The sequence below is a fragment of the Homo sapiens genome, chromosome 1 (genome assembly GCF_000001405.40).
Source record: "Homo sapiens chromosome 1, GRCh38.p14 Primary Assembly".
Taxonomy (NCBI): Eukaryota; Metazoa; Chordata; class Mammalia; order Primates; family Hominidae; genus Homo; species Homo sapiens.
Genome location: NC_000001.11, coordinates 86,349,647 through 86,363,642, shown reverse-complemented (window position 1 = coordinate 86,363,642; position 13,996 = coordinate 86,349,647). Strand labels below are relative to the sequence as shown.

At 35.5% G+C, this 13,996-nt stretch overlaps 1 protein-coding gene and 1 non-coding gene across 36 annotated transcripts in view; both read left to right on the top strand.

Annotated features, from left to right (window-relative positions):
- The window catches only part of ODF2L (outer dense fiber of sperm tails 2 like), a 49,487-nt gene that overhangs the window by 32,681 nt on the left and 2,810 nt on the right, over positions 1-13,996 (top strand). For 12 of the 35 annotated variants that reach the window (NM_001395534.1, NM_001395536.1, NM_001395523.1 and 9 more), the window contains 5 exons: positions 3,107-3,217; positions 4,752-4,856; positions 8,784-8,869; positions 8,951-9,113; positions 10,659-10,784. In NM_001395534.1, the coding sequence (NP_001382463.1) occupies positions 3,107-3,217; positions 4,752-4,856; positions 8,784-8,869; positions 8,951-9,113; positions 10,659-10,784 (591 nt within the window). Of the gene's footprint in view, positions 1-3,106; positions 3,218-4,751; positions 4,857-7,040; positions 7,200-8,259; positions 8,299-8,783; positions 8,870-8,950; positions 9,114-10,658; positions 10,785-11,434; positions 13,543-13,996 lie in introns of those variants that run through there. The other 23 variants (NM_001395526.1, NM_001395527.1, NM_001366782.1 and 20 more) reach the window with 5 other exon arrangements.
- MIR7856 (microRNA 7856) lies at positions 5,956-6,011 on the top strand. Its single transcript, NR_107010.1, has one exon. It is a non-coding gene; the product is annotated as a microRNA 7856 (primary transcript).

Here is a 13,996-nt window from a genome sequence, read left to right as displayed (position 1 = left end):
CAGTTTTTTACTATTGTAAATAAAAACATAATTTCTTTGAGTCTTTTTTGCTTATCTGTTTTCTTAGGATATATTTAACTGTATGGTCAAAAGAGAGACTCATTTTTAATATTGTTCTATATTTCCAAATTAAATGTGTCTACTATAAGTAAAATAGTCCCTATACATTTTCCAATACTAGGTAATTAAAAGTGCTAATTTTAAAACAAATCTCTCCAAATTTTATAAATAATCTCATTTATTCTTGTGGCTTTACATACCATCTATGTGCTCGAGGCTTTCAAATTTATACCTCTAATCTAGACCTAGTCTCTGAATTCCAGACATATATTCTGCTGCCTGATTGACATCTCCATGTCAATATTTAATAGGTGTCTAAAAGTTGTCATGTCCAAAATGGAGCTCTTGATGTTTCCCAAAATAGTAAATCCTACAGTTTTCCTCATCCCAGTTAATGGAAAATCATCATTTCTCTCATACGCTGCTTCCAGTCTGTCATCAAATCCACCTCAAGTATATTCAAAATTTGACCACTTCTCACCAGCACCACTGTCATTATCCTGATTCAAGCCTCCATCATCTCTCATCGTTACTGTGACCTCCTGATCATTCTCCTTGCTTCAGCCCTGGCCCCTGCAGGCAGCATTCAGTATTAGCAGTAGAGTTGTTTCTATAAAAATGTAGTCAGCTGGGTGTGGTGTCTCACGCTGTAATCCCAGCACTTTGGGAGGCCAAGGTGGGAGGATCACTTGAGCTCAGTTTGAAGACCAGCCTGGTCAACATGGTGAAACCCTGTCTCTACTAAAAATACAAAAATTAACTGGGCATGGTGGCGGGCACCTGTAATCCCAGTTACTGGGGAGGCTGAGGCAGGAGAATCGCTTGAACCCAGGAGGCAGAGGCTGCAGTGAACCCAGATCACACTACTGCTCTCCAACCTGGGCAACAGAGTGAGACTGCCTCAAAAAGAAAAGAAAAGAAAATTCCAAAGAGCCCTCATAGTGATTCCAGGTGCTGAGTTCTGACGTGTCCTTCACTGAAGGTCATTGACTGCCTGGGCACGGTGGCTCATGCCTGTCATCCTGCAACTTCAGGAAGGCAATGTGGGAGGATCGCCTCAGCTCAGAAGTTTGAGCTCACTCTGGGCAACATACTGAGACCTCGTGTCTACAAACAATTTTTGAAAATTAGCCAGGTGTGGTGGTGTGCGCCTCTCAGCTACTTGGGAGGCTGAGGTGGGAGGATCGCTTGGGCCGGAGAGGCTGAGGCTGCAGTGAACCATGATTACACTATTGCCCTCCAGCTTGGGCCTGACACCCTGTTTCAAAAATAAATTAATAAATACAAATTAAAAAGTAAAAAAAAAAAAAATTTAGTCAGATCGTGTCACTGCCCTGCTCAGAACCCCCCAGAGATATCTTGGTTCGTAAATACCTACAAGGCATTATACCATCTCATTTTCTATTACCTCTCTTCTTCTTCCACTCTCATCTCCTTCCACTCTTCCCCTTTTTTCTCTATTTCTACCTCACTGGCTTTCTTGTTGTTTTCCCCTAACTTGCTAGGCCGCCTCCCGCTGTTGTCTTTTTCCCTTAAACAGACACACTTCCTATCAGTTTTACTCAAAAGTCTCTTTCTCAGGAGGCCTTCGCCCACATGTCATTCCTAGCTGCTTTTGTGTTTGATGTATTTTACTGCTTGTTCTTATTTTTTGTCTGTCTGCCCCTCCAGTATGTAAGCTTCATGGAGGAAGGGAATGTCGTCTGTTTTGTTCACTAATAGAACCTTCAGTGCCTGCAGCATTTTAAAAAGTAACTAGTGAACATATTGGCTCATGTATTCATCAATCATTCACATTTCTGCCTTTTTGAATTACCTACTCATTATTTTTTATATTTGTCTTTTGTCCTAATTAATATATAATAACTATATTAAGGATATTAATCTTATATTTGTTTTATTTTTCTAATGACAAATGTTATTTGACAAGACATCAAATTTGTCATTTGCTAATACTTTTTCATATTTTGTTTGCCATTTAAACTGTATTGGAAAGCTGTGAAATTTTGGAGAGAGATACACGCACACACATTTTTTTAAATGGCTTCTCTTGAGAGTGCTCTCACAGCTCTGCACATCTTGTAATCAAAGATATTGTCCATGTAGACTGTCTTTTGAAGGATGTTTGTATAGTAGATATCCTTGGAATATGGTAACCGTGTCTCCCTTAGGAGTATGGGTAGGCATGCTCACTGCCTGCTATAAGAAATTTGGGTTCCCTAAACTCAGGTTTGTTCTTCTGTAATGCATTTGACTGCATATACAGTTGCCATCTGGCCTCTGGGTTGCTCTGTGGGAACTGGGGCTCAGCAAACTGATACAAATGCTGACAGTCTTGCTACTCTTATTGCTGTGAGTAATAAGTCCCCTGTCTCTGACCTAGGAATCTTGTACCTTCTGTTAGCATCCATGAAATTGCAGTAGACTAACTAGTAAGCTTGCAAGGAAGATAAAATCTCAGACTTTTACATTTCTACATATCTTCTTTTAATTTTATGCTCTTTAGGACTTTTGCTATCCTGAAATGAAATACAGTTTTATCTGAATTGTCTGAAAATTTTTAAAGTTTTTATTTAATTCATTTGATGCTTCTTTAGTGTTGGGCTGAGGCAGGTAGTTAACCTGTTTTTTTCCTAATAGTTAAACAGTTGTCTTATTGTCATTTATTTAGTTGTCCATGTTTCCTCCATTGATTTAAAAATCTAACCTTTATCATGTATTAAGTATAATTTTTGTGTATTTTTCTTTTCCAGTAACCTCTGTATTCTATTGATTTTTCATATCTAGGCACATTTCCAAGTTTTTTTGTCAGTAAATTTAGAAAGTTTTAAAAATAATATGTCCTGTGTAAATCTTAATAAGGATGTTCATAATTATTAGTCACTAGCTTTGTGAAATTCCTAAATTTTAGATGGTATTGCATGAAATAAAAAATAATTATTTTATCAACTTTGTTAATACATGAGTTATGTTTTTATAATAATTCTGTAGCACTGGAGTATAAATGTATTCTAATGACTTATAAAATCTATATCTTTTTTGCTAGACTACACTTGCTGCTTTGAAGGATGAAGTTGTATCTGTTGAAAATGAACTCTCAGAATTGCAAGAAGTAGAAAAAAAACAGAAAACCCTTATTGAAATGTATAAAACTCAGGTGACTACTGCATTTATTTTAGTGTTTACTAAAATTGGTAGACAATTTAAAACACTATTTCTTTGTAATCTAAATAAATAGAACTGAAGAGAGGTGGGGCTATCATTGTGGGTTATAATATGGTGTGTCTCAAATATTTCTTAAGGTCCCACACATCTTTATAAATAGATGATTCTGCTGATTCCTGATTCAAACACTGCATATGGATATACTGGATATTCCTAAAAGTAGATTTAAAATGAATTACATCGGTATAATGTGACCCTTAATGTATTCTTGTTAATCTTGGTTATATTTGTTTGTCATCATGTGTATTTAATGGTATTGATTTAGATTAATGACTCCCTTCTAGGGTCATTAAAGTTCATTATGCCTCCTTTCTCAAGAAATAAAGTATAATTCAGATTATTCACATGAAAGACCAAGAAAAGAACATATGACAATATATATGAAATAGACCATGTGTTCAATGGTAATTTATAGAAAACCTTTATTTTTTTGGAAATGTAGTATTCAAGAAAAAACTTCATAAGATGGGACTTATGCAGGTCCTTGCATGATGGTTAACACACTGGTCAGAGAGAGTTTGAATTAAAGAATAATGAACTGGCTGGGTGTAGTGGCGTACACCTGTAATCCACTGGGAGGCTGAGGTGGGCGGATCATTTGAAGTCAGGAGTTCGAGACTAGCCTGGCCACCATGGTGAAACCCTGTCTCTACTAAAAATACAAAAATTAGCCAGGTGTGGTGACATGCACCTGTAGTCTCAGCTATTCAGGAGGCTGAGGCAGGAGAATTGCTTGAATCCAGGAGGTGGAGGTTGCAGTGAGCCGAGACTGCACCAATGTGCTCCCAGCCTGGGCAACAGAGCAAGACTCCATCTCAAAAAAAAAAAAAAAAAAAAAGAATGAACTAAGGATGAAAGCTTAAGGGGGCCAAAGTGTGGGCAAGTAGGAAGGGGCTGCATCTCGATGGATTAGATGGGAAAATTAAGTTGAGACATCCAGTTAGAATATTTCAGTCATCCAGGTCTGAGGTAGGAATGGAGGTTGTGGTGGACTGTGGGACTTGTTATTCATCAGGGTCTTCCAGCTGGTTATTTGGGTTTAATCCCTCAGCAGGAATACTGTGGTTGAGTGACCATATTCTGGGTGCAGGGCCTAGAATTTTTTTTTTTTTTTTTAGCAGATTTTGATTTGGTGGGAAAAATAATTTAAATGGAAGCTAGTTTGGACCAGAGACTGATTCTTTGAAGTGACATTGATCTGCAAATGAAAATCTTTGTAGTCTTCAAAGCTCAAGTGGAGAGTTTAGAAGTATTGATGAGAGAAGACAGGTAAATCAGACAAAGATTGTGGGTTAGAGTAGAGCACTGAGTGATTCCATATTTAAAGAAGTAATAACATTAGATGAACCAGTCAAGGATATTGATAGGAAAATAATGACTTGTTTAAAATGAAATTTTAAATTTTAGATTTTTATCTCATGTTATGATTCTAAAAATAATATGTTTCTCTAATACTTTATTTTCAGGTACAAAAGTTGCAAGAAGCAGCTGAAATAGTAAAAAGCAGATGTGAAAATTTGCTACATAAAAATAACCAAATAACAAAAACCAAAAATAAAAATGTAGAGAAGGTACGTTTGGAATTTCAAATAAATAATATTTTATATATTTTTTACTTTATGAATAGTACACAAATTCATTCATTTTGGTCATTTTCTCTAGTTCATACTTAGGAAAGGGCTAGTCTTAGCCTCTGTAAGAGTTTGTTTTCCAAGGAAATAATGTTTCTTCCAGGCTGGAAATGTTGTTTGTTTATGTGAATGTTTTTTCACTTTTTTGTTAATATTTGGAAAATAGCATAAATGTTTAATTTTTCTGATGCAAGAGCAGACTTTAAATAGCTCAAAAAATGGTTATCAATCATAAGTATACAAACCTAAGTATCTCTCATTTTTAATCTCACCCTTTTTTTCTGGTTATAAATGTTTTACGTCTACAAAAGCAAAGCCAATATCTGCTAAATGCATTTTTGAAGAAAAATAATATCTTTTAAAAAACGATCATTTCCTTTTATTTGTTCTATTGCAACAGAATGAAGGGAAGGCCAGTGTTGGCGAGTTATGATGTTTTTGTGAATATTTTAAAATTTTTAAATGAAACCGCATCTCTGTTTGGTTTTTTGTGTTGTTTTGGTAAAGAAGCAGTGAAAGTTGTAGGATGCTGACTCCTGGCAGCAGAGGTCATGCGATGTTAGTGGTCGCTTCCATCTGAATCTAATAAGGTTACTCTCTCTGGGTTGCTCCCTATCTTAGGATTGAGAAGTCAGAGCAAGGCAATAATGTGAAGAAGAGGTCAGCCAGAGCAAGCGTCCTCCAGTTATACAGACATAAAGATAGCTCACTGAATGCACAACTTACTGCTTTCATGGAATTACTTTTCACCTATTTTTAGCAGGCCAGCGAATAAACCATTTCATGTCTTTTGGTCTCATTTTCTCATGAAACATACCAGTGCAAATGTCTCCTTTTCTGCTAGGCAGCACTGTAAATAAAAGCATATTTTACAATCCTGTTCAAATGACGGAAAGGGTTGGAGCCTGTCTTTTTCAGATACTGTGAGGTCACAATGTTTTCTAACTAGTATTTAACAAGACAACTATTTTTTTAATGAAATTTTTCTTTTTCTTACTTCACTGTTTTAAGTCTCCTGGTTTTCTCATGGCCTCTAAGATGTTTTAAGGACACTGAGGGATCCTTTGTTCTGGATCCCTCAGTGTCCTTAAAACAGACATTTTTCAGTCTGTTTTTTTTTTTTCCTGTTTTACTTTATATACCATCAGAATATGGATCATGTGTATCCTGTTAGTAGCCACATAGCCTTCTCCTAGCTCAATGCCTAGCACGTAGTAAGCACTCAATATTTTTTTAATTAATGAAATTTTTTTTAAAGGAGCAGTCCAAGGATGGCGACAAGTCTTTTTTCTTTTACTTTCAAGACAGTTTTAGGAAGCATTCCCTGTCTGTCTTCCAAATATAATCTGGATTTTAATTTTGCAAAAAAAAAAAAATACTGCATTATCTTTCCTGATCAAGAATGCCAGATACTACACAGAAACTATTAGGTGTTCCTGTCTCAGGGAAAGAGTCTGGCTATTTTTTGTAATTAGCAGTGCAAACATTTCTTAAGGTTGCTGCTTTTCACATCTCCACGAAAGTGCTGCAGCGAGGAACTGCAGTAGCCAAAACAGATTAATGTAGATGAAATTAGAGAGATTTGTTGATAGTAACATTAATGGCCAAATTAAAGGCAAGTGAGAACTGATGATACTAGCAATTTTTAAATAATATACAGTAAACCCTATCAGTTTTGGCTAAGATGAGTGAAGCAAGCTGCTCTAATTTAAGTAAGTATCTGAGTTATAAGATTGAATGACTAAAAGTGACAATTCCTTTAGAACCTATAGCTGGGCAGTAGACAATTACGGCTTTATTAGTAATGGTTATTAGTGATAATCTATGCTTGAATATAATGTCAGGATTTTAAAAATTTGCTCTTAAAAATTAGTTAAACATCCACCCTGTCAGCTAATTTACCCTATTTATGTGCTCAACAAACTTTTTGAAAACTAAAGTCTACCCCACTTTTTAGTTATACATTCTTATTTAACAGAGTTTAATATTTATTCAGTTGTGTTCTTATTTAAAGCCATTATACCTAAAATACTTACGTTATAAGCATATCTAGTATTTAAGATAATAAAAATATTAATGCTGAATGTGTGATCTTGCACTTATTTCCCTACTGCCACAACTCAGATGAGAGGCCAGATGGAGTCTCATCTGAAGGAGTTAGAGCGTGTCTGCGATTCCTTGACGGCGGCGGAACGGAGGCTTCACGAGTGTCAGGAGAGTCTGCAGTGCTGCAAGGGGAAGTGTGCAGACCAGGAACACACCATTAGGGAGCTTCAGGGCCAGGTGTCCAGCCGTCCTTCTGAGTTTTGCTAGATGCGTTAAAAGAATGCTTTGGAATGATTTCACCAGTTGAGGGCACTCATGTCAGGGCTTGATTTTTAAATTCCCATCTACTTAGTTCGTAAAACATCATTTTCATGCAGATACTATAATACAGTTTTGCAAGCTATTCTTTTAGTATTTTATGGTGAAAAATTGGTAATTAAAATTCTTATTTTAGTTTATTCATGCAAATCTATAGACATTTGAAGACATGGTAATAGAATGAGAGAAGGAGCAAAGTTATACTTACATATATGTTCCTTGATGTAAGGATAAGGTAAATTATTGAAACTTACATTACAAAAATTGAATTTATTTTAATTAGAATTGTACGTCAAGTTTTTTGGGATATTTTTCAGTCTGTTTCTTTTTCCTGTTTTACTTTTTATACCATCAGAATATGGATCATGTGTATCCTGTTAGTAGCCACATAGCCTTCTCCTAGCTCAATGCCTAGCACATAGTAAGCACTCAATATTTTTTTAATTAATGAAATTTTTTTTAAAGGAGCAGTCCAAAGATGGTGACAAGTCTTTTTTCTTTTACTTTCAAGGCAGTTTTAGGAAGCATTCCCTGTCTATCTTCCAAATATGATCTGGATTTTAATTTTGCAAAAAAAAATACTGCATTTTCTCACTTAAAAAGTAGGAGCTAAATGATGAGAACACGTGGACACATGGAGAAGAACAACACACAGTGGGGCCTTTCAGAGGGTGGAGAGTGGGAAGAGGGAGAGGATCAGAAAAAATAACTAACAGGTACTAGGCTTAATACTTGATTGATGAAATAATCTGTACAACAAACCCCCATGACACAAGCTGACCTGTGTAACAAACCTGCATTTGTACCCCTGAACTTAAAAGTTAGATAAAAATATGCAGACAAAATTTTAGTTTAAATTCCTGAGAAGAGATTTTTCTAGTAAAATGTCAAACGACATAGATTAGCCTAAATTACTAATTGAAATTATGAGAAAAAAATTTTTTCCTTGAATCAAAGCTTCTTACATTATTTAGAGCAGATTTTGAAGCAGTGGGAAGAATATTCTGTCTTGGCATGGGTGAGTGTGTCTTTGGTTGATTTGTTCACTTTGCTTCTCAAAAAAATATGTATTTTATTTACAGTTTCGACTTCACAGATACTCAATTATTAATCAGTATTTTTAGGTGAAACAGAAAACCATAAGAGAAACCCTAGGTATCCAAAAATAGGAGATTAATACTGCTTAAAATTTTCCTATTTCAACTTAACAAAATAAATATCTTTCTTCAATAAGGTGTTGTTCAAAGTGTTTTAATAGCCATCATCCTGAATTTTTTTTAGTTGGTTATTTTCCAATACAGGCAACATAACTTCTTTAAATTTAACCAGGAATTTAAAACTTCCATTTTAACAATATAACATTTTCTTGGTGTCTTTCTGTGTAAGAGTAGTAACATTTATACCTTCTCGTTGCTTGTGGTTGTTCTAACAATAAATTATATGGATTTCTTTGGAAGTTGATTGTGAAGAAAATGACTAAGAAAACTTTTTTTTTTCTTTTAGGTTGATGGAAATCACAATCTTCTGACAAAGCTTTCTCTGGAAGAGGAAAACTGTCTTATTCAGCTGAAGTGTGAAAACCTTCAACAGTAAGTATTAAATTACTTAACATTGCTGCTGCATATTTCTCTGCACATTAACATTTTAAAATATATGTTTTCTGTAAAAAGAAAATTAGAACAGATGGACGCAGAAAATAAAGAGCTTGAGAAGAAGCTGGCAAACCAAGAAGAATGTCTTAAGCACAGCAATCTTAAGTTTAAAGAGAAATCTGCAGAGTATACAGCATTGGCCAGACAACTGGAAGCTGCTTTAGAAGAAGGAAGACAAAAGGTATGCATGGCCTTTATTTAGAAACTTTTTAATTCATTTACCAAAGAGTCATCTTTTTAAACATCTTGCAACCTGTAGTTATTGTTTTTGTCCTGATGACAGGGTGAAGGGAGCAATTACATTTTTCTTCTTTAACTATCTTCCTTTTCAAGCAAAACAGATACATTGCTAGGCTAGAGCTACTTCACTAGATAAATGGTAATGTGGCTGGGGAAAGGGCAGAGATGGAAAACACTTTGAAGACATAATCTCCTCCTGTACCTTTTTTATATACAACCAAATTGAATGTGCAAATAATTGAAAATTTTTGTTTTGATCAGGATTCAGTGAGCTGTAAAGTTCAAGTCCCTTTTGACAAATATTGTTGCATAGATAAATACATACAATATTAAATTTCAGTTACATCCATTAGGTTAGCATTCAACGAATACTTCAGTATCAGGCAATCTGCTAGTGCTTGAGATGCAAAGATGAATAAGACCTGGCCTTAGCTCTCAGCACTCTCATAGTCTGGTGTAGGGTTCAGCCTAAGTGCATTTTGGAAATGCCAGGTATGCTCTCAGATTCCTTCCTGAAAGGAAGAGTTCAGAGTCCCAGAGGTATGTCTGCCCTCTCCTTTCTCTCCTGCTACAGTGGAATATGGGGCTATCTGTAGTTTCTGCCCACGTGAGAGTGCCATCACTGCCCTGTTACCATTGCCCACACTGAGGGGACGGCGCCAAGGGCGTCAATGTTTGTCCTAAAGGCCCTTTCTCCCATAGCTTCAGCTCACACTGGCATCTCTCATGCATAATTGTGCTTGGAATATGTACAGAAGAAATCTTTATAATAACTTAGAACCGAGTTCATAGGAATTAGGTTGGAGGACAGTCCTTTCCACTAGCTCCTTGTTCCTGGATCAGTCCCTGCCTCTACTCTCATTCTTGTGGCTCCAACCCAGCATTCTTACAAATAGGCTTCCTTAGAAGGAAACATATCTGATTCCTTAGATGAACATAACTAAGCTAGACTTCCTGCTAAAATAAGTAACCAGAGAAATATGAAAATTCAAATTCAGACCAGTTTGGAAGTGAATGAATGAAGAACCAGTCTCTGTGTTTGTGTGTGTGTGTTTGTAGGAAGTGTGTATACCAATTCCTGCTCCCAATTCTATTAATCCAAGTGTATAATGAGTATTTAACAAGAAATTTCTATGTTCCATCACTGCTCTTAACACCCTGGTGAATATAAATGCTATAAAAATGGTAATTGGTCTCAGTCTGTTTTTAAAATATACTGTTGGAGAAAACACCTACCTAAGTCACGGAGCAGTGAAAATGTATACATCTCTTCCATCTCAAGCCAATTTTGCAGATATTTAGTGCTGCGAAGATAAGTATAGTATATACTTACGCTATATATGCTTCTTCAAGATAGAACATCTTTAAACTTGGATATAACATACAAGTAATATCTGTTTAGAAAAAAGGTACAATATAACTGTCAAGGCTTTAAATCATATTTTAAAGAAAGCACTTTATTTTACTCTTTTGATAAAAATTACAGGTTGCTGAAGAAATAGAGAAAATGTCATCTAGAGAGAGTGCTTTACAAATTAAAATATTAGATCTGGAAACTGAGCTTAGAAAGAAAAATGAAGAACAAAATCAACTTGTTTGCAAAATGAACAGTGTAAGTATTAGCATGGCTTAACATATTATAAAAGATAACATTTAACATTCTTACCATGTAGAAAATACAAAGTGAGTGAATCAAGTCTATTGTTTTACTGATAATATTAAAAATAACAAGCAATATAAGACATAACAAATAAAAATGTTATGATATGCCAAATAATTTATTATTCTGCCTCTTTGGATGGCATGTATTGCATTGCCATCAAATCTCATCAGGCACTTTCCCTACATATTACTTTTGCAATGACATCTGCTTAATGAAAATTACAGATATAATCTACTTGATTTCATCCTGATATGAATTTTTCATTTTTTAAAGATAAACACAGTGTAAACTATTATTACAAGTGAGTTTTATATCTGTCTTGAATAATGAATATTTTGTTTTAGAAAGTTATAATTTTGTAGTAAACATTCAGTATTGTTAGATATACATGTGAGATGGATGCTTTAGTCCACTCAGCCATGAAATGAAAATACCAAAGTGACTGTGCTTAATTAGTCTTCTGTTTTTTTTCCTGAATACTCATGAAACAGTCAATTGGCATAGAATATTCTGAAAGCTAGCATTACTCATGATTAAATTACGTAATAACTGTCTACTAGATAATGACATAGAGAATAATGATACTGTGTTTTTTCCAGGATCCAGAGACTCCATGAAATCTATTTTTTTAATTCCCAAGTGTCTAAAAAGTTGAAAACCTAAAAGATTCAAGAGTTAAATGATTTTTGGCATGCACAATTTGATTTTATTGCCATCAAAAGTTTCATGACAACTTAGTCAGAACAAAACGTCGATCACCTTTAATTTAGCACAGGCCTTCCATTTATTTCTAAACTTTTTTTTAACTCACCATTTGACTTTCTGATATTGTAAAATGTGTGTGCTGTTTTTTTGTGTAATTGAAGCCTCTGAAAAAATAAATGAGGTGGGTTTTGCTGTAATGTCCCTAGTACTTGGCTAAAGCTAGTAAAATAAATAGATCCCATTCACAATTGCCACAAAGAGAATAAAATACCTAGGAATCCAAATTACAAGGAATGTGAAGGACCTCTTCAAGGAGAACTACAAACCACTGCTTAAGGAAATAAGAGAGGACACAAACAAATGGAAAACATTCCATGCTTATGAATAAGATGAAACAAGATCATGAAAATGGCTATACTCCCCAAAGTAATTTATAGATTCAGTGCTATCCCCATCAAGCTACCATTGACTTTCTTCACAGAATTAGAAAAAACTACTTCAAATTTCATATGGAACCAAAAAAGAGCTCACATAACCAAGACAATCCTAAGCAAAAAGAACAAAGCTGTAGGCATCACGCTACCTGACTTCAAACTATACTACAAGGCTACAGTAACCAAAATAGCATGGTACTGGTGCCAAAACAGATATATAGACCAATGGAACAGAACAGAGGCCTCAGAAATAACTCCACACATCTACAACCATCTGCTGTTTGACATACCTGAGAAAAACAAGAAATGGGGAAAGGATTCCCTATTTAATAAATGGTGTTGGGAAAACTGGCTAGCCATATGCAGAAAACTGAAACTGGATCCCTTCCTTACACCTTATACAAAAATTAACTCAAGATGGATTAAAGACTTAAGTGTAAGACCTAAAACCATAAAAACCCTAGAGGAAAACCTAGGCAATACCATTCAGGACATAGGCATGGACGAATACTTCATGACTAAAACACCAAAAGTAATGGCAATAAAAGCCAAGATTGACAAATGGGATCTAATTAAACTAAAGAGCTTCTGCACAGCAAAAGAAACTATCATCAGAGTGAACAGGAACCGACAGAATGGGAGAAAATTTTTGCAATCTATCCATCTGACAAAGGGCCAATATCCAGAATCTACAAAGAACTTAAACAAATTTACAAGAAAAAAAACCCCATCAAAAAGTGTGCAAAGAATATGAACAGACACTTCTCAAGAGAAGACATTTAGTCAGCCAAAAAACATATGAAAAAAAGCTCATCACTGGTCATTCAGAGAAATGCAAATCAAAACTACAGTGAGATACCATGTCACACCAATTAGAATGGTGATCATTAAAAAGACAGGAAACAACAGATGCTGGAGAGGATGTGGAGAAATAGGATGCTTTTACACTGTTGGTGGGAGTGTAAATTAGTTCAACCACTGCGGAAGACAGTGTGGCGATTCCTCAAGGATCTAGAACCAGAAATACCATTTGACCCAGCAATCCCATTACTGGGTATATACCCAAAGGACTATAAATCATGCTGCTATAGAGACACATGCACACGTATATTTATTGTGGCACTATTCACAATAGCAAAGACTTGGAGCCAACCCAAATGCCCATCAATGATAGACTGAATAAAGAAAATGTGGCACATACACCATGGAATACTATGCAGCCATAAAAAAGGATGAGTTCATGTCCTTTGCAGGGACATGGATGAAGCTGGAAACCATCATTCTCAGCAAACTAACACAAGAACAGAAAACCAAACACCGCATGTTCTCACTCATAAGTGGGAGTTGAACAATGAGAATACATGGATACAGGGCAGGGAACATCACACACCAGGGCCTGTCAGGGCGTGGGGGGCTAGGGGAGGGATAACATTAGAAATTCCTAATGTAGATGACGGGTTGATGAGTGCAGCAAACCACCATGGCACGTGTATACCTATGTAACCAACCTGTACGTTCTGTACATGTATCCCAGAACTTAAAGTATAATAAAAATTAAAAAAAATAAAGATCTGATGTTTTGTTAAACCTGATAAGTTTTGTACTAGTAAAATTCTAGAATTCTAAGCATAGATTTAAACATTGCTGAAAAATGAGTTTGTGTGTTTTATGCCTTCCAGGGGACAGTTAAGTGGGCAGTATTTATTTAATATACCTGCTTCAGCCCCATTTGAATTGTAAGCACTCTGAAAGCATGTCTCATAGTCGTCTGTATCCCTGGTGTCTCCCACAGTGCCCTGCTTACCTGCAGGCCTTTTTGTATTTTCTGTCCAAGTACCCTAATAGGGTGGTGCAGAATGGATGTACAGATCTGTGGATGACCTCAGCAGCTTAATCCAAGGCACCCCTCGGGAAGCCTGAAATGTCTTTGAAGTCTTATGTATTATCCTAAAATCCATTGACATTTTATATTCTACCCTACAAAATAAGTATGTGTTACTATTTTTCTTTCCAAATTGTTGA